At 43.9% G+C, this 18,340-nt stretch overlaps 3 protein-coding genes and 1 long non-coding RNA gene across 6 annotated transcripts, besides 11 other annotated features; 2 read left to right on the forward strand and 2 right to left on the reverse strand.

Annotated features, from left to right (window-relative positions):
- Positions 1 to 64: 64 nt before the first annotated feature.
- H4C7 (H4 clustered histone 7) lies at positions 65 to 450 on the reverse strand. Its single transcript, NM_003547.3, has one exon. It carries the CDS (start codon positions 429 to 431, stop codon positions 135 to 137), a length of 297 nt encoding a protein of 98 aa, NP_003538.1. The 5' UTR covers positions 432 to 450; the 3' UTR covers positions 65 to 134.
- Positions 2,922 to 3,001: an enhancer, noted in NCBI's record as "active region_24220". NCBI's record gives its function as "activates an Ori minimal core promoter by ATAC-STARR-seq in GM12878 lymphoblastoid cells {active_cell/tissue: GM12878}" and the evidence as "EXISTENCE:reporter gene assay evidence [ECO:0000049][PMID:35858748]".
- Positions 3,142 to 3,511: an enhancer, noted in NCBI's record as "active region_24221". NCBI's record gives its function as "activates an Ori minimal core promoter by ATAC-STARR-seq in GM12878 lymphoblastoid cells {active_cell/tissue: GM12878}" and the evidence as "EXISTENCE:reporter gene assay evidence [ECO:0000049][PMID:35858748]".
- H3C7 (H3 clustered histone 7) lies at positions 3,596 to 4,089 on the reverse strand. The gene has a single exon (NM_021018.3). It carries the CDS (start codon positions 4,057 to 4,059, stop codon positions 3,649 to 3,651), a length of 411 nt encoding a protein of 136 aa, NP_066298.1. The 5' UTR covers positions 4,060 to 4,089; the 3' UTR covers positions 3,596 to 3,648.
- Positions 3,812 to 3,971: an enhancer, noted in NCBI's record as "active region_24222". NCBI's record gives its function as "activates an Ori minimal core promoter by ATAC-STARR-seq in GM12878 lymphoblastoid cells {active_cell/tissue: GM12878}" and the evidence as "EXISTENCE:reporter gene assay evidence [ECO:0000049][PMID:35858748]".
- Positions 4,818 to 5,548: an enhancer, noted in NCBI's record as "NANOG-H3K27ac hESC enhancer chr6:26251592-26252322 (GRCh37/hg19 assembly coordinates)". NCBI's record gives its function as "activates a minimal SCP1, AML or CMV promoter by ChIP-STARR-seq in naive and primed H9 embryonic stem cells {active_cell/tissue: H9 hESC(naive and primed)}" and the evidence as "EXISTENCE:reporter gene assay evidence [ECO:0000049][PMID:30033119]".
- Positions 5,068 to 5,529, forward strand: H2BC9 (H2B clustered histone 9). Its single transcript, NM_003524.3, has one exon. It carries the CDS (start codon positions 5,105 to 5,107, stop codon positions 5,483 to 5,485), a length of 381 nt encoding a protein of 126 aa, NP_003515.1. The 5' UTR covers positions 5,068 to 5,104; the 3' UTR covers positions 5,486 to 5,529.
- Positions 5,124 to 5,283: an enhancer, noted in NCBI's record as "active region_24223". NCBI's record gives its function as "activates an Ori minimal core promoter by ATAC-STARR-seq in GM12878 lymphoblastoid cells {active_cell/tissue: GM12878}" and the evidence as "EXISTENCE:reporter gene assay evidence [ECO:0000049][PMID:35858748]".
- Positions 5,634 to 5,733: an enhancer, noted in NCBI's record as "active region_24224". NCBI's record gives its function as "activates an Ori minimal core promoter by ATAC-STARR-seq in GM12878 lymphoblastoid cells {active_cell/tissue: GM12878}" and the evidence as "EXISTENCE:reporter gene assay evidence [ECO:0000049][PMID:35858748]".
- Positions 6,734 to 6,823: an enhancer, noted in NCBI's record as "active region_24225". NCBI's record gives its function as "activates an Ori minimal core promoter by ATAC-STARR-seq in GM12878 lymphoblastoid cells {active_cell/tissue: GM12878}" and the evidence as "EXISTENCE:reporter gene assay evidence [ECO:0000049][PMID:35858748]".
- Positions 7,057 to 7,558: an enhancer, noted in NCBI's record as "H3K4me1 hESC enhancer chr6:26253831-26254332 (GRCh37/hg19 assembly coordinates)". NCBI's record gives its function as "activates a minimal SCP1, AML or CMV promoter by ChIP-STARR-seq in primed H9 embryonic stem cells {active_cell/tissue: H9 hESC(primed)}" and the evidence as "EXISTENCE:reporter gene assay evidence [ECO:0000049][PMID:30033119]".
- Positions 7,559 to 8,058: an enhancer, noted in NCBI's record as "H3K4me1 hESC enhancer chr6:26254333-26254832 (GRCh37/hg19 assembly coordinates)". NCBI's record gives its function as "activates a minimal SCP1, AML or CMV promoter by ChIP-STARR-seq in primed H9 embryonic stem cells {active_cell/tissue: H9 hESC(primed)}" and the evidence as "EXISTENCE:reporter gene assay evidence [ECO:0000049][PMID:30033119]".
- Positions 8,121 to 8,170: an enhancer, noted in NCBI's record as "active region_24226". NCBI's record gives its function as "activates an Ori minimal core promoter by ATAC-STARR-seq in GM12878 lymphoblastoid cells {active_cell/tissue: GM12878}" and the evidence as "EXISTENCE:reporter gene assay evidence [ECO:0000049][PMID:35858748]".
- On the forward strand, positions 10,954 to 15,382 carry LOC105374986 (uncharacterized). Of its 3 annotated transcripts, none has more exons than XR_001744055.2 (3): positions 10,954 to 13,037; positions 13,749 to 13,861; positions 14,826 to 15,382. It is a non-coding gene; the product is annotated as an uncharacterized LOC105374986 (long non-coding RNA). The 3 variants fall into 3 exon arrangements; XR_926613.3 differs by having other exon boundaries at positions 10,954 to 11,140; positions 12,773 to 13,861; XR_001744053.2 differs by having other exon boundaries at positions 10,954 to 13,861.
- Positions 11,915 to 12,004: a silencer, noted in NCBI's record as "silent region_17002". NCBI's record gives its function as "represses an Ori minimal core promoter by ATAC-STARR-seq in GM12878 lymphoblastoid cells {active_cell/tissue: GM12878}" and the evidence as "EXISTENCE:reporter gene assay evidence [ECO:0000049][PMID:35858748]".
- Positions 15,383 to 18,340: the final 2,958 nt, after the last annotated feature.

Here is an 18,340-nt window from a genome sequence, read left to right on the forward strand (position 1 = left end):
AATATTGCTGAGTGCGTTAGTTAAGTTTCCACAATGTCAAACGTGAGCCCTTCGGAAGAAAACGTACGCGGCCCTGAAAAGGGCCATTAACGATATTGCAAGGAAAGGCCTGGCCTCACTTAACCGCCAAAGCCTTACAGGGTTCTTCCCTGGCGTTTGAGCACGTAGACCACGGCCATGGCGGTGACCGTCTTGCGCTTGGCGTGCTCCGTGTTGGTCACGGCGTACCAGATCACATTTTCCAGGAACACCTTGAACACCCGGCGGGTCTCCTCATAAATGAGGCCCAAGATGCGCTTGACACCGCCATGCCGGGCCAAGCGCCGGATAGTGCACTTGGTAATGCCCTGAATATTATCGCTCAGTACCTTGCGATGGCACTTGGCACCGCCTTTCCCAAGGCCTTTTCCGGCCTTGCCCCGAACAGACATGATAAACAAGTCAGAACTATCTCTAAACAAAACGATTACTCGCTTTCCGCAGCCTTTTATATAACGGTAGAGTAGACCTTTTTGAAAACTGAAAGACCAGGAAAGGCGGGAAAACGTATTCAGTCCCCGCTCATCTACTTCTAGTAATAACAAGACATAAGAAATTCTCTTGTAGTAGGGAGATTTGCTGGCATTTAGAGAATAAGGATCTCTAAACGAAAGTGTCAAACATGTACCTAGAGGAAAGTATCTCGATTTTTGATGTCTGTATGTGTTTAAAGATTTACTCCTGGCCGGGCGCGGTGGCTCACGCCTGTAATCCCAGCACTTTTGGAGGCCGAGGCGGGCGGATCACGAGCTCAGGAGATCGAGACCATCCTGGCTAACACGGTGAAACCCTGTCTCTAATAAAAATACAAAAAATTAGCAGGGCGAGGTGGCGGGCGCCTGTAGTCCCAGCTATGCAGGAGGCTGAGGCAGAAGAATGGCATGAACCCCGTGGGGTGGAGCCTGCAGTGAGCCGAGATCACGTCACTGCACTCTAGCCTGGGCAAGGGCGAAGCCCGTCTCAAAAAAGAAAAAAAAAAGATTTACTCCTTCCCTGTATATTAGAGCATTTACCATGCTGAAGTTGAAACAAGCCCAAATTCCAAGACATAAAAGAATTCCTAATCATATTGCCAAGCCGCCCAGCTAAAGAGAAGTAGCCTGGTTTTTGGTTTCGAATCTGTGAGTGACTGCTCTCTCACCGATATTAGACATGTTAATCTGAGTTTCAATGGCCCTATCTGTAAAAAGGGTAAATACTTGTTAATAATTGAGTTACTTTAAGCAAAACACTGGCATATAGTTAGTAAATGATTTTTTTTTAAAATACGGAGTTTCGCTCTTGTTGCCCAGGCTGGAGTGCAATGGCGCAATCTCTGCCCACTGCAACCTCCACCTTCTGGGTTCAAGCTATTCTCCTACCTCGGCCTCCCAAGTAGCTGGAATTACAGGTATGTGCCACCACTCCCGGCTCATTTTTGTATTTTAGTAGAGACCAGATTTCACGTTGGCCAGGCTGGTCTCCAACTCCTGCCCTCAGGTGATCCGCCCGCCTTGGCCTCCCAAAGTGCTGGGATTACAGGCGTGAGCCACCTCACCGGCCAGTTGGTAAACGAATTCTTATTGCCACAGCCTTTTTTTACAGACAAAATAATAATGCAGAGGTAAAGCACACCGAAGGATTTTAAAACATTGCCTTTGCAACACCAATACATTCAGTGTGCTTTCACTTATATTAAGCACTATACAATTAAGCAATGAAGAATTGCCCAGAAAAAAGATAATGTAAATTGCCAGAGGCTCCATGCCCTGTTCTCATGTGGAGGACAGAAGGTACAGGGGGTGACTGTCTTCTGGGGTTGATACAACAGGAAACTCAGGGAAAGCTGTCATAAATGTTAATAGGAGAAAAGGGGAATTTGCTCACAAGCCAAAATAAAGACATAAGCACCACTAAATTTTTACATTACAAAATACTTGCTGAGCTAGTTAAACGAGAGCATTTAAGTGGAAATAAATGATGTCTCTAAAATAGAATGTTCAAAATAACAATGGATTTTTTATTGTGCAGTTACGATGCACCAAACAAACAGTCCTAAAGATCATGGGTTTTTGAAGCAGGGTCAGCAATATCTAAAAAATCATGTAACTGCATAAATGAATTATGGCCTAATGAGCAGGTCACCACAACAAAAAGCCAAGAGTGCAAACAACTATTTGTGGGGAAAACAAACAAACAAACTTGATAAACCATGGAATTCCAAGCAATAAAAGCAGCAATCCCATCACAGCCTATTTCTACATTATTTTGAAATAATTAGATTTTTTTTTTTTTTTTTTTTTTTTTTTTTTGAGGCGGGGTCTCACTCTGTAGCCCAGGCTGGAGTGCAGTGGCACGATCCCGGCTCACTGCAACCTCCACCTCCCAGGTTCAAGTGATTCTTCTGCCTCAGCCTCCCTAGTCGCTGGGATTACAGTTGCCTGCTACCACGTCCGGCTAATTTTTTGTATTTATAGTAGACAGGGTTTCTCCATGTTGGCCAGGCTGATTAAATTACTAGAATAACAAGAAATTGCGCTGGGCACGGTGGATTACGCCTGTAATCCTAGCACTTTGGGAGGCCAAGGAGTCACATCACCTGAGGTCAGGAGTTCCAGACCAATCATAGCCAACATGGTGAAACCCCCGTCTCTACTAAAGCTACAAAATTAGCCGGGCGTGGTGGCACACGCCTGTGATCCCAGCTACTCGGGAGGCTGAGGCAGGAGAATCGCTTGAACCCGGGAGGCGGAGGTCCCAGTGAGCCGGGATCCCGCATTGCGCCACTGCACTCCATCCTGGCTGACAAGAGCGAAACTCCGCCTAAAAAAAAAAAAAAGTTGCAATAATATTTCCTTGAACCCCGTTTTCCCTGAGCATAGTGTACAGCTTCACCTGCACCTCGGGGTTTTAATTGGAAGGCTCCCATGCCAAGTAAAATTTGTATTATATTAACTTGTATCCGTTTCTCCTGTTGATGTCTCAAATGAACTCTCAGGGCAAGCCAAAAAGAATAATAATGATTTAACTCCCCATACTGTCACAAATAAAGCTTTCGTACACTTTTGTCAACAAGTTGTTTCCTTTGTCCCTGTAGTTTTGGTTTTGCCTCAGCACACAACCATTTTCTGTTTTGTTGTTTTGAGACAGGGTTTCGCTGTCACCCATGGAGGAGTGGAGTGGCGCGATCTCGGCTTACTTCAACGGCTGCCTCCCAGGTCCAAGCGATTCTCCTTCCTCAGCCCCCGATATAGCTGGGACTGCAGGAGGGCGCCACCACACCCGTATTTTTGTTTTTTGGTTTTGTACTTTTAGTGAAGACGGGTTTTCACTATGTTAGGCAGACTAGTCTCGAATTCCTGACCTTTGTATAAGTAACCCGCCCTCCTCGGGCTCCCACAGTACTGGGATTACAAGGCGTGAGCCGCCACTATCGGCCATTTTGAAGACAATGGCCAAGACACAAAAGCCTAGTTTAGAAGAGCCACCGGCCCTGCCCCCATCCCCTAACCCTCCACCCTCCTTGTTTTAGGAGACATTACTCCCTAGTGCTACGGCGCTTTCAACTGAAATTGTTGGTGGCTCTGAAAAGAGCCTTTGGTTTAAGTTGGCGCACACCCTCAGTACAACTTATGCCCTCTCTCCGCGAATGCGGCGAGCGAGCTGGATGTCCTTGGGCATGATAGTCACTCGCTTGGCGTGGATAGCACACAGGTTGGTGTCCTCAAAGAGCCCCACCAGGTAAGCCTCGCAGGCCTCCTGCAGCGCCATCACAGCCGAGCTCTGGAAGCGCAGGTCGGTCTTGAAGTCCTGCGCGATCTCACGTACCAGACGCTGGAATGGTAGCTTGCGAATCAGTAGCTCAGTCGATTTCTGATAGCGGCGGATTTCACGGAGGGCGACAGTACCAGGCCTGTAGCGGTGGGGCTTCTTCACGCCACCGGTGGCTGGCGCGCTTTTGCGAGCCGCCTTAGTGGCCAGCTGCTTGCGCGGGGCTTTGCCGCCAGTGGACTTACGAGCTGTTTGCTTCGTGCGTGCCATAGGAATGGGTTTCAAGCAATGGTCACAACTGAACAAACAGTTGTTCTTACTCCTATTTATAAAGGCAAAGTCCTTCTGATTGGTCCGAATCTTCCAGTTTCGCGCCCTGAATTATGTAGTGTGATAGGACTTGTGATCAGCTACTAGGTCTCATTTTAGAAAATCTTAACCTATCTAAATGCTTTTTTCCCCTAGTTCCTTACATTTTATTATGTTTTATGTGCCTACCTGTATTACGTACCTTCATTGATTTTATTTTAATCAGTTTGTTTGGGATTATGTTTGACAGACGGAAATGAACGTTCTGCAGTTCCGGAGCGATTCAAAAATACCGCGTTTGAGAGTGATTGGTCCAGCTCAATGTCTCCTTTATATTTTTTAAAAAACTCTTACTTTGAAGAAATATTTTATTTTTAATATAAGTACCCTATTTCATATATTCTGAACCTTTCAACAAACACTGGTTTCACTTCCAGACACTCCGTTCCTAGGGGATATTAAAATCCCATCGCTCTTGAGATGTGTTCATCCTTTGATTACTGAAAAAGCTTAAATTTTTATGTAAGAATGCTAATGACCTTGATCAGATTATAAAAGAAAGCCAATGGTATAATTCTGGAAACACGTAAATCTTTAGCTAATTTCCATTTTAGAATTAGTTATTCATAGATAATTTTAAATCCGGAAGCTGCAATTTGGTAGGAAACTAGAAACATAATATCCGTCTTTGTTTCTGTTTAAATTCTCACCTAAGGAGACAGAACTTATAGGTAGATGTTACTGGCAAGGCATTAGTTTTTCTAATGTTTTGAATGAAAAACTACGTTTTTTCCCCCGGGAGGTGTAGAAAAGGATTTAGGGTAGGTTTCGCATAAATATCCAATCAAAAAGTAGACTTGAATTTAACTTTTTTATTGGCTGATTTGGTCCAATCAGGGATTGAGAATGATTAAGCACCTATTTGCATAAAAGACCTACAAAAACGGCCAGCTGTGCTGTTGAGCCTTCACTTTGGGGTGTATTCTTACTCCTTTATCTTGTTGCAATGCCTGATCCAGCTAAGTCCGCTCCCGCCCCGAAGAAGGGCTCCAAGAAGGCGGTGACCAAGGCGCAGAAGAAGGATGGCAAGAAGCGTAAACGCAGCCGCAAGGAGAGCTACTCCGTATACGTTTACAAGGTGCTGAAGCAAGTCCACCCCGACACCGGCATCTCCTCCAAAGCCATGGGGATCATGAATTCCTTTGTCAACGATATCTTCGAGCGCATCGCCGGCGAGGCTTCCCGCCTGGCTCATTACAACAAGCGTTCGACCATCACCTCCAGGGAGATCCAGACAGCCGTGCGCCTGCTGCTGCCTGGGGAACTGGCCAAGCACGCCGTGTCCGAGGGCACTAAGGCCGTCACCAAGTACACCAGCTCCAAATAAATGGACGCATGTTCAAACCCAAAGGCTCTTTTCAGAGCCACTTAATGATTTCAATTAAGAGTTTTAATGCTGGGTGCTGCTGTATTCTATGGGAGAAGTGTCGCCAATACAGGTAAAATTTTCCTACATCACCTGTTTATTCTGTGCGTTTGACAAACACTAAGCTTTTAGAGTTTATTTGTCTTTATAAAGGTGGGGTACAACTACATTGTTCAGGCTGGTCTTAAACTCAAGCGCTGGTCTTAAACTCAAGCAAGTTTTCCCACCTCGGCCTTGCCTTGTATTACTGAGCAGATAATTTGACACAGCAGGAAAAGTGGGCATTCTTGTTTAGGAACCAAAAACTAAGTTTGCAACTTAAAATGCAATCAATTTGGAGCAACACGTCCACCAGTCTAGAGCTGGTAAGTTTGAGTATTCAAAATGAGTTGAAAGTACATTTAGTGCCTATAATAACCCACTCTAGATAGCATAATGTGGTCTTTGTAGGAGTCTCGTGGAAGTTAATGTTAACTGGGATATTGTAGTTTACCAAGTACCTGAGAAAAATTTAAATTTCTTAATAGATAAGGATTAGGAGACAAACTTTATGGAAATGAAAACAAAATGCCATGCAATAAACCTTTAGTTATTTGGCAAGTAGTATGAGGGCTTCTAGCTGTCTTTGAAAAACTTAAGATTTGTAAGACAAGGAAGAGCAGAGAATATAAATAGTAAAGGGCCTGGCAACAATGTGTCTTTGTTTTTAGGTAACGTTGGTTGGCAGTCAGCAAAAAGGCCAGGCTCAGGCAGTCTTAACTTGAAAACGCTAACAGGAATCACCAAAACTATGTATACAACTCCTGCTGTGGGTTTTTTAAATATCAAGATTACCGATTTTAATGGTAGGGTAATATAGACTGAAATCCCCACATTCCTCCACCCTCATGGGCATTTCTCTTGGCTCATAAAATATGGGGGTAGCAGGAGGAAAGGGAAGAGTATATTAAGAGCCTATATCTGAGAGGTACGTTCAGTTTTTCCTCAAAAGTATCTGGTGGTTGGACTAGTAATTTATTCATTTATTGAGAACCTATTAAATTACAGAAAATACTTAGTAAAGAGCAGTGAGAAAGATAGAAACTATCCCTGTCCTTTACCTGGATTGAAATCTAAAGTGGATATTTGTACAATAAACTCACAAACTAAAGAAAGAAACGTAAGTCTGAAGGTCACGTTTTTCTTTTAACCGGCTTTTGATGGGACTGAATTTAAATTGCCAAAAGGTGAATTAACATAATCTTGAAAACTTGCAAGTTCCTGGAGGCAGTTCTGGAGGGAGGGTGGAGCAAAAGAGATGGCAGAAGAAGAGGAGCCAGCAGCACTGGAATTCAAAAGTAGACATTCTTGCCTCCTCCCTAGTGGACAGGGAGGAGGGGTGGGGAGAGCACAAGAGAGCCGTGACAGAGGAAGGGAGAGAGCACAGAGTTTAAGTCTATATTGATGGAACTATGGTTACAAATAGGGGCTACCCATTTATATTCTCATCTGGCCATGTCTCATCAGTGATTTACAAGGATTTCATAGAAGTGCTTTAATAAAATGTACAACCTCACTGAAATATAGAAAGTAATACTATAAGACAGCAAATATTGTATATTTATGCAAATAATTTTTTAATAAAAGGTTTTTTTAATGTCCACCTGTGTGAGTTAGTATTTGATACCTCTGGAAGTAACAACTTAAAATAGTTACTAGTTAATAAAAATGAAAGTCTACTTTTCCCTCACACAAAGCTAATACAGCTCAGACATGGGAGTTCGAATATCCTTAGAAATTCCCTCTCACGGCCGGCGCGGTGGCTCACGCCTGTAATCCCAGCACTTTGGGAGGCCGAGGCGGGCGGATCACGAGGTCAGGAGATCGAGACCATCCCGGCTAACACAGTGAAACCCTGTCTCTACTAAAAATACAAAAAAATTAGCCGGGCGTGGTGGCAGGCGCCTGTAGTCCCAGCTATTCGGGAGGCTGAAGCAGGAAAATGGCGTGAACCCGGGAGGCGGAGCTTGCAGTGAGCAGACATCGCGCCACCGCACTCCAGCCTGGGCGACAGAGCCAGACTCCATCTCAAAAAAAAAAAAAAGAAATTCCCTCTCTCACGGCCGGGCGCGGTGGCTCACGCCTGTAATCCCAGCACTTTGAGAGGCCGAGGCGGGCGGATCACGAGGTCACGAGATTGAGACCATCCTGGCTAACACAGTGAAACCCCGTCTCTACTAAAAATACAAAAAATTAGCTGGGCGTGGTGGCAGGCGCCTGTAGTCCCAGCTACTTGGGAGGCTCAGGCAGGAGAATGACGTGACCCCGGAGTTGGGGGTTGCAGTGAGCCAAGATCGTGCCACTGCACTCCAGCCTGGGCGACAGAGCGAGACTCCGTCTCAGAAAAGAAAAAAAAAATTTTTTTCTCTCTCTCTGTATATATATATATATATCATATATACATAAAATGTGTGTTTGTCCTCTATATATAATGTGTTTCTTATTATTTGGAATTCTCTCAAATATATTCTGCTATTGAATTCTCCCATGGAGGACCAACCTAACAAATGGGACAGATGAAATTCACAAGAAGTGTTAAGTATTACCTATACAAGAAGTCTGTGAGATGTAGACAAAATTCAAAACCTATATTCATAATCAGTCATAGATCAGTAGCCTGTGAGACGTGTTAGACATAGAGAAAGTCAGTAGGGCTTGTGTGTGCACTACTCAGAGACAGGAAGAGATGAAAGAACCAAAAACTGCTGGATATTTATGAGACACCACATATTTATAAAGTACTCAATATTTATGGGGTCATAAATTGACCGCCCACTGTTAACATCCATTTTCGCTGGTTTCATTGGCCCTCTACAGACAGCATGCATATAAAAGGCATGGCTGGTCAGTATGCCACTATTGAGCAATATAAGTGGCTGTATACCAATAGAGCAAGCATGTGTTGGCTCCACATAATTTGCATCTGCTGACTCCTTTGCTTATCATGAACTCTGTTTCTCGAAATCACCCTCTCAGTGGGGAAAATATGCAAGGGGGAGAGAGAAACCTCACACATATGACATGCATAACCAAGGATTCAGGTAGTGAGACTGTGTCATTTGCAACCTATCTGAAATGTGTTCACTTGCCAAAGCTCTTTCCGCTTGTTTCTAACTATATGTTTCAAATTGATTCAATAAAATTAAATAAGCCGTGGAGCTCAGGAAACTTACATTGGGCTATGAGACTTTCTATTCATAGCCTCTGGAACAGCCTCCCTGGTAGCGTATTTGGAGGCTATCATTGCATTAAAGTAGTTTTCCGCATGACATTGTAATTTTGTCTTTCTGAATATATCCCTGTTCCAGCTCCAGCTATCATGTTTACATTTAATCCTGAAGGAAGGGAAGGCCTGTGCAGTGGCTCACGCCTGTAATCCCAGCACTATGGGAGGCCGAGGCGGGCGGATCATCTGTCAGGACTTCGAGACCAGCCTTGGCCAACATGGTGAAAGCCCATCTCTACTAAAAATACAAAAATTAGCTGGGCATGATGGCCTGTGCCAGTTATCCCAGCTACTCGGGAAGCTGAGGCAGGAGAATCACTTGAACCTGGGAGGTGGAGGTTGCAGTGAGCCAAAATTGCACCTCTGCACTCCAGCCCGGGTGACAGAGTGAGAGACCCTGTCTCAAAAAAAAAAAAAAAAAAGTAAACATTGGCAAGAATTGCTTCAGTTAGGAAGATAAGAAAACAATGCATCTCTAACTAGAATCAAATGTTCATTTTAACATGAACAGACGGTGCTGACTTCAAATGTAGCTGTTTGCAATCAGCATAGGGCTTAGGAAATCAGAAAAACACCTTGAGAAGTGAAGTCAGGGCTACATGGTCAGACTCAATGCCTAACATGAATGAGATTGGGCTGAGTTTGAAGTCCAATGGCACTCTGTTTTTCTGTTTTGTTTTTTGAGACGCGGTCTCACTCTGTCACCCAGGCTGGAGTACAGTGGTGTGATCACGGCTCACTGTGGCTTCGACATCCCTGGTCTCAGGTGATCCCACCTCAGCTTCCCAAGTAGCTAGGACAGCAGGCACACAACAACATGCCCAGCAAATTTTTTAATATCTTCTTGTAGAGACAGTGTTTTGCCATGTTGCCTAGGCTGGTCTCAAACTCCTGGGCTCAAGTGATCCATCTGCCTTGGCCTCCCAAAGTGCTAGGATTACAGGTGTGAGCTACTGTGTCTGCCTATGCTATTTTAAATATCCATTCTAGCCAGCAATCTGGTGAAGTTCCAATTCTACCTGCCTTAGTCCTGTCCTCTATCTTCCTGGATTTTCTCAACTCAACATTGGAGACATACCTATTGGTGTCAATGTTCTTTATGCATTGACTCCCCCTGACCCTCACCAATAAGATTCAACCTTGCCTTTTGCTTACTTGCTTGCTTGCTTGCTTGATTTATTTATTTAATTATTCTGAGACGGAGTTTCACTCTTGTTGCCCAGGCTGGAGTGCAATGGCTTAACTGAAACCTCTGCCTCCAGGGTTCAAGTGATTATCCTGCCTCAGCCTCCTGAGTAGCTGGGATTACAGGCATGCAACACCACGCCCGGCTGATTTTGTATTTTTAGTAGAGACAGGGTTTCTCCATGTTGGTCGGATGGTCTTGAACTCCCGACCTCAGGTGATCCTCCCGCCTTGGCCTCCCAAAGTGCTGGGATTACAGGCGTGAGCCACCACACCCAGCCACCTTTTGCTTTAAACAGTTCAGCTTTCTCATTTCAAGGTACTCTGCGTTGTTCCTCAAAGCCTTTCACATCTGAAATGCCCACATTACTTGAATCAAACCACAAAGGTGAACCACACATGGTCCTTATTATCTAGGATATGAAACATTGTCCCATGGAGAAAATAATGTCCCATGGAGAAAATATTGTCCCATGGAGAAAACAACTTATCAAACAAAAATAACCAAAAAGGTCAGAATATATTTTTCTTGTTTTTGTTTAAGCCCTTCTTCTTGCACACTGAAGAATATAAAGAATTTATTCAAGCACAAAGCATAAGGATTGAACACCTGGAAATACCAATTCCAAAGTGATAGAGATAGCATTCTGAAATAGGGAAGTTCAGATTTCGTTTATAAAGTTAGAGGAGCTTTTAGCAAGGCTCTGCACAACTTCAGGGGAGAATAGCTGAAGGCAACTGTTCTCTAACCTTGAGGCAGAGGGTAAGGAGCAAGTGCAAGGGAGCAAGGGGAAATTATCTTGATCAGGCTTGTTTGAAGTTATCCTGGAATTGACCTTTGAACATCCGTGTGTGCGTGTGTGCGTGACATTCCCTGAAAGGGGAACAATAAATATTAATTACCCACAGATTGTGTTTGCCCCAGGCTTTCGGCATTCTGCCTGCACTGAATAAAAGCAAGCAGCTCCAGCTTCTCGGGGCTGCACTTTGGCCACTTGAGCCAGGCAGTCTCCTAGCTGCTCTTACACACTGCATAGCTGTGTGTGAGTACTCTTTTCATCCATCAGTCAGCCAGGGTCTGCAGGACAGATCCGGCAAGTGGTGCCCTGTATGAGGAATGCTGCAACGGATCTGGACTGAACCCTCAAAAATAAAGTGACTGCTCAGTAAGTAATTGGTCCCCACTGGGGATTTCTAAGTTCGAGGGGATTTTCAAGCTAGGGTTTCATCATGGGACAACAGTTATAAGCTCAACAGCAACAGTAGATAAAAGTATTGAAACAGCTGCTTAAAGCTAGTGGAGACTTGGTTTCGGAGGCTCAATTAAGGGATGTAATGCAAACTGTTGTATTCCATAACCCATGGTTCCCAGAAGAAGGCACACTAGACCTAGGGCTCTGGGAGCAATTGGGAAGAAATCTTAAACAACATTATGTACAAGGGCAACAGGTCCCAGTAACATCTTTAATGTTATGGGCTTTAGTTAGGGCTGCTTTGGCCCTGCTCTACACAGAAGAGCCTAAAAAAGGAGGGGAGGAAGAACCATCATCTACCTTACTGCCTCCTCCTCCTCCCTCAGCCCCGCCATTACCCGGGTAAAGATACCAAAGAGGAGACGGAGGATTTTCCTAATTCCCCTCCCCCAATAAATCGGGAAGAAGACAAGAGATATACTACAGTTATGGGACCCTGTCTTAGGCAAGCAGCATTAGAAGGGGAGCTCCTGGCTTGTCCTGTGATGGAAGATCAACAGGCCAATTGGGTACATGAGCCTATTACTTTCAACACTTTTAAGGAAATCAGGAAAAGCATTAGAGAAAATGGACCTGCTAGCCCATTCACAAGAGGATTAATTGAGGTCATAGCAGATAACTACCATATTGACTCCATGGGACTGGTCAGTGCTAGCTAAAACAACTTTAGAGGCCCATCAATACCTCCTCTAGAGGGCAGAATATAATGAATTGTGCAAACAACAGGCTAACCAGAATCAATTGGCAGGACAGAACATCAGCTGCTATGCTCCAGGGGAGGGGTCCCTATGTTAATGTACAACAACAATTAAATTTTGTCCCTCAAGCCTATGCGCTACTGTCTTTGTGCACTCACAGGGCCTGGGACCAAATTCCCGAAGGTAGAGTTCAACAGGGATCTTTTATAAATGTTCCACAAGGTCGTTAGGAGCCATTTGTTGAATTTATCTATCAGTTAACCCAGGCAATTAAGAGACAAATTAGTCATGCCAAGACCGCTGATATCTTATTGTTGCAATTGGCCCATGAAAATGTTAATGTGGATTGCCAGCAAGCAATGCAAGCAGTCACAGGGAAAGCAGCTACAGTAGGGGAACTCATACGAGCATGTCAGCTGGTGGGGACTGAAACACACAAAGCCAGAATATTGGCTATGGCATTAAAGCCTCCAAAAGTAAAAAGGGATAAAAATCCAAATTGTTTTCAGTGAGGAAAGCCAGGTCATATGAAGCGGGAATGCCCCAATAGTAAAGACCAAAGTAACTCAGGAAAAGAACCCCTTTCTATATAAGGACAAGCCATAAAACAGAAAAGGGGGAATATGAGTAAGGACCCTGCAACACTACTAGCACAAGGCTTATTTACCCTTAACTTCCTAAATTTAAACGATAAATTTCAATCAGCCATAGAAAAGCACTTTGCAAAAACCTTTCAAAACATAAAACCTTTACTTTTTATGGAAAGATGTAAATAGTAAGCTATGGTGAGGTCCAAATGATTTGTTAACGTGGGGAAGAGGATATGCTTGTGTTCACACCCCCTCAGGTCCTCTTTGGATTTCTGCGCGACATATGAAACCATACCATGGCATGGCTGGAACCCAACCCGGTACCAAAAATAAAGGAAATGACCCTGCAGGACCTGCAGCCCCAAAACGATGCGGCTTCCTCGGACGACACAGGCCCCGGACATTATGCTGAAGAAGACAACTCAGGAAGCTGAGCAAATCCTGCTCCAGACACAAACACCATTCACTCCAGATAATCTGTTCCTTGCTATGCCCTCCGTTGTACATTGCAACACTCGCAGGGTATTGGTTTTTCTTATTCTCTCACTCTGCCTGCAACTCGTACCTGCTACACTCTATTAGGCCCATCTTCTAGATCCACCTTTCTTCCGCCCTGTTACTTGGGCAGACACCCCCTTCCCAGCTTCTACCAATGTGACTGCTTGGGTAGGAGGGATAAACATACCCCTGGTGGGGTTCCTCAGTAACAGCCCTATAGAACAATGTGCAAAATCACCTCTCCTGGATAGACCCCCACTCCTGTGGGTCACTCTTTGATTGGAAATGAATATTACTGATTATACTCACGCTTGTCTTATGTTACCTACTGCTTCTGGGATGCAAAGCTGGAACACAAGCTGTAACCGCTGCACCTGTCAAGCTTGTCACTGCACACATCTGTATTCTTCAATCAACAAAACCTGATGCAAAAACAGAAAAGGGGGAGATGTAGGAGATCAGTCAGAGTGGTGAGAGAAACTGTAAGGAAAGGAGCAGGCCTTCTGAAGGGTCAGAAGGCTCTGCATAGCTTCGGGGAAGAATAGCTAAAGGCAGCTGTTCTCTAACCCTGAAGCAGAGGGTGAGGAGTATGTGCAAGGGGGTGAAGGTGAAATTATCTTGATCAGGTTTGTTCGTTTGAAGTTGTCCAGGAATTGAACTTTGAACATCCGTGTGACTGACGTCCCCTGAAAGGGGAACAATATGTTAATTACCCACAGATTGTGTTTGCTCCAGGCTTTCGGCATTCTGCCTGCACTGAATAAAAGCAAGCAGCTCCAGCTTCTGGGGGCTGCACTTTGGCCACTTGATCCAGGCAGTCCCCTAGCTGCTACACTGCATACCTGTGTGTGAGTACTCCTTTCATCCATCAGTCAGCCAGTGTCTGTGGGGCAGACCCCGCAAAGCAGGACAACAAAGGGGAGGTTAAACAAGGATCATTAATTAAGAAGCCAGGGCCAGGCAAGTTGGCTCACACCAGCATTTTGGGAGGCCGAGGTGGGTGGACCACGAGGTCAGGAGTTCAAGACCAGCCTGGCCAAGATGGTGAAGCCCCATCTCTACTAAAAAATACAAAAATTAGCCGGGTATGGTGGCAGGTGCCTGTAATCCCAGCTACTCGGGAGGCTGAGGCAGGAGAATTGCTTGAACCAAGGGGCAGAGGTTGCAGTGAGCCAAGATCATGCCGCTGCACTCCAGCTTGGCTGATAGAGTGAGACTCCGTCTCAAAAAAAAAAAAAAAAGGCAGGAGACTTTTGTCCCTAATGCCTAATGTTGCTTAATTCTGGACATGACATTGTATATAACAAGAAAAAAGAGAACTCAAGTTATCTCATCTCTCTCAAGCTTAATGTGTTTTGGGAATTCCAACAGCTGGTTTTTTTGTGTGTTTTTTTTTCTTAAGGAAATGAGGTCTCATTTTGTCACCCAGCCTGGAGTGCAGTGGCACAATCATAGCTCACTGCAGCCTCCAGCTCATATCTCTAATGACTCTCCCACCTCAGCCTCCAGAGTAGGACGGGCTACAGGAATGCACCATCACATCATATTTTATTTATTTTCACAAACTATAGCACAGCAGTGGAATATGCTTAACATTAGGAGAGTTTTGAGACCCACTACCCGGGTTGAAATTTGTTACATCATTTTTATTAACTGGATGACTTTAGGCATTATGCAGAAACATTCAGCTTGTTTCCTCATTTACAAAATAGAAACAATGGATTTTCGTAATGATGAGGCGATTGCTCAAGCTTAGTTAGAGTTGGGTCTAACAAAGAATTCTGACTTCTATTTCACTTTTCTTTCTACCAGTATCAAGAACAAAATGGGGGCTTCTGCACAGCAACTTCAGAAGATAAGCAGATTTTCTGGAAATGGATTTAGAGCAAGAGAGGATATCTAAAATCAAAGATATATGACACTGCTGGGGCTCAGAAACTGATATCCCAAAATATTGCACTTTGACATGCTGAACTGAAGAAGCTACAAGGTCTCTCTGACCTTCTCCCCACCCCTCCTGTCTCTCAATCCTTTCCGTCTCCCAAAGCACAGGATGAAGTTGTTTTCAGAAGTTCCTTATCTGCCTAAAGTCCAAACCTGCCAAAGAATACAATTATCTTTAGTCTCTACTCTGAGTTTTCATTAAATGAACTAATATCACAGGGAGAAACACAAGCCTGTCAACAAACCTAGATAGATTTTGTCACAAACCACTGTCTACTCTGCAGCCCTAACAGACATTGTCCCAGGCCCTTGCATGTTCTTCAAGCCCATTGAATTCCCCTACAAATCATTTATTATATCCCTAAAAACACTTCTCAAGCTCCCATTTCCCTAGGAAGTAGAATAAACATCTATGTCCAATTGCAGTATTGGGTGATCACTCTATCCACCCCCCTCTGCAGTGTACACGTTAATAATTTCATATGCCTTTTATTAATTCTGGTCATTAATTTAACCTTTTTCTTCTTTGGGGCCCACGTTGAAACCTCTATTTTCAACTTCTCTTCCAGTTAGGTGTGGCCTTTTAGCTAAGTTCCTGCCAATGGAACATAAACACAAGTAAAGATTGACATTTCCAGGCCTGGGACATAATAACTTTCCACGAAGGATTTTTCCATGTTCTTTCCCCTTGCAGGGCAAATGTAGAAGCCACATTTAGGATGGCTAAGCCACAAAGACAGAGGGCATCTAGGTTCCAGAACCACTGCTAGAAGAAAGAGGGACCTGCTGATCTAGAATACCCTTTTTGAACCTCATATCCGCAGAAAATAAACTTGTATTTATCTTAACTAGTATGCTCTGCACCAAAGAAGGGTCTAGATTCTTAATTTCTAAAAGGAAATGCATTCACTTGTTGCTGGATGAATCTTCAGGTCAAAACACTTCATCTGTAAAAGAAACATAAGATTTCATGGAGAGAAACAAAGCAAAATGTGGACTTCTTAAGAGTTAACCAGAGGAGAGGAAGCTATATTCACATCTATCAGCAGTAGAACTTCTGTCCACAGCCTAGTGATCTTTCAAATGTGGATGTGACCATAAGGATGAGGTAGTTTCATTGGATATGTTGCCTCTTGGGTCCTCCATTAGAAAAGCATAAGGAGGGTTGGATGCGGTGACTCACATCTATAATTGCAGCACTTTGGGATGCTGAGGCAGGAGGATCACTTGAGCCCAGGAGTTCAAGACCAGCCTGGGTAATATAACGAGACCTCATCTCTATATTTAAAGAAAAAAAAATTAAATAAAATCAGTAAGGCGGCCGGGGGTGATGGCTCATGCCTGTAATCCAACACTTTGGGAGAGAGAGGTGGGAAGATTGCTTGAGGCAAGGAGTTTGAGACTTCAGTGAGCTAGGATCATGCCACTGCAGTCCAGCCTGGATAACAGAGCAAGACTGTCTCAAAGAAAAAAAAAAGAAAAAGAAAAGGAAAAGAAAAGAGAAAAGAAAAATAAGAAAAGAAAAGCTCAAGGAGAAAACAGAGACTCTATAATATTGACATTGCTCCCCAAAAGTCTCGTAGAATAATCTGGGTAAATTTTGTAAGACACCAGATATGTCTTTTTTCCTCTAACTGCACTTAACCAAAAAAGTGAAAGTAATTGATAGTCCATTTTTGACAGTTATAATCATAAATAAAATCCCTGGATCTCATATCGGACAATAGTCTCACTCAATATGAAGGATTAAGAAGAAATGTGATCTCTCAATTTTTTGTCAAGGTTTATCTAGGGCTCAAAATCAGTAGCTGGGAACATGTATCATCTTCATCATAATTTAATTTTGTTTTATTATGGATTCGGCCATCACATTATAACCATTATAGAAATTTTAATGTGGAGTTCTGTTGCTAGTAGGAGCAGTTTTCTTTGTACTTTGGAGCTCATCCGTAGATATCTAGTATAATGAAATCTCAGAAAATGTTACAGCATATAAAGCCTTGTAAAGATTACATTGGTTTCTTTCATGTGAAAAGTAAAATGATAGCAATTTTGCAGATCTCTTATTTTTTATTTTAAATAAATTATCATATAATAATACTCTTTCCTTAACTACTGGTATCCTTGAATAAGGCGAGCAGTCTTCCATGGGGTTAGCACTCATTGCTTATCTTTTCCTGCCCCTGCCTCTTGATTCACTGTCTTAACTGAATGTCCTTGGGTATCTGGAGCAACACGTTTGAAAAATTAAAATGTATGAATCAGGCCGGGTTCAGTGGCTCATGCCTGTAATCCCAGCACGTTGGGAGGCCAAGGTGGGGAGATCACCTGAGGTCAGGAGTTCAAGACCAACCTGGCCAACATGGCGAAACCACATCTCTACTAAAAAAAAAAATACAAAACTTAGCCAGGCGTGCAGGCACCTGTATTCCCAGCTACTTGGGAGGCTGAGGCAGGGAGAAGTGCTTGAACCTGGGAGGCGGAGGTTACAGTGAGCCGAGATCCTGCCACTGCACTCCAGCCTGGGCAACAGAGTGAGACTCTGTCTCAAAAAAAAAAAAAAAAAAAAAAGAAGGCAGGGCGCGGTGGCTCACTCCTGTAATCCCAGCACTTTGGGAGGCCAAGGTGGGTGGATCACCTGAGGTCAGGAGTTGGAAACAAGCCTGACTAACATGGCAAAACCCCATCTCTACTAAAGATACAAAAATTAGCTGGACATTGTGGCACATGCCTGTAATCCCAGCTACTCAGGAGGCTGAGGCAGGAGAATCACTTGAACCCGGGAGGCGGAGGTTGCAGAGAGCCGAGATCGTGCCATTGCACTCCAGCCTGGGCAACAAGAACGAAACTCCGTCTCAAAAAAAAAAAGTATAAATCAGTACTGAGTTACCTGGAAATTCCAGCTTAAGAAAAACAAAGGCCCTGGTTTTATGTAGTTGGCTATCAGAACAATGTCCATAGCCCAAATATGCACCCAACTCAGGATCCATGAATCAATGTTTCTTCTCTCTGGTATGATCTTCCTACAGCTGTATAAAGAACTCACTCTCTTCTCTGCTCAGTCTTGTCAGGACCAAGAAAAATCTTCGCCTTCACCCTCTGAAGTTTTTCTCAAAAATCAATTACCAAAAAACAGATTAATAGGAGAGAAAGGCACACAAGTTTATTAACATGCAGGAGGGAGAACCACAGAGTAATTACCCCAACCCCAGCAGGGGGTACAGAAGCTTAAATGCCATCTTTAGGTTAAAGAATGGGGACTCAGAGCATGGCCAAAAACAGGTTAGGGTGGTCAATCATGCAAGACAGGTTATGGGAGGGCTTTGCTAACAAAGGTGGTCTTGTTATGTAGATGAAAACTCATAGGTAACAGCCCTCAAGAA

The sequence above is a fragment of the Homo sapiens genome, chromosome 6, assembly GCF_000001405.40.
Source record: "Homo sapiens chromosome 6, GRCh38.p14 Primary Assembly".
NCBI classification, from domain to species: Eukaryota; Metazoa; Chordata; class Mammalia; order Primates; family Hominidae; genus Homo; species Homo sapiens.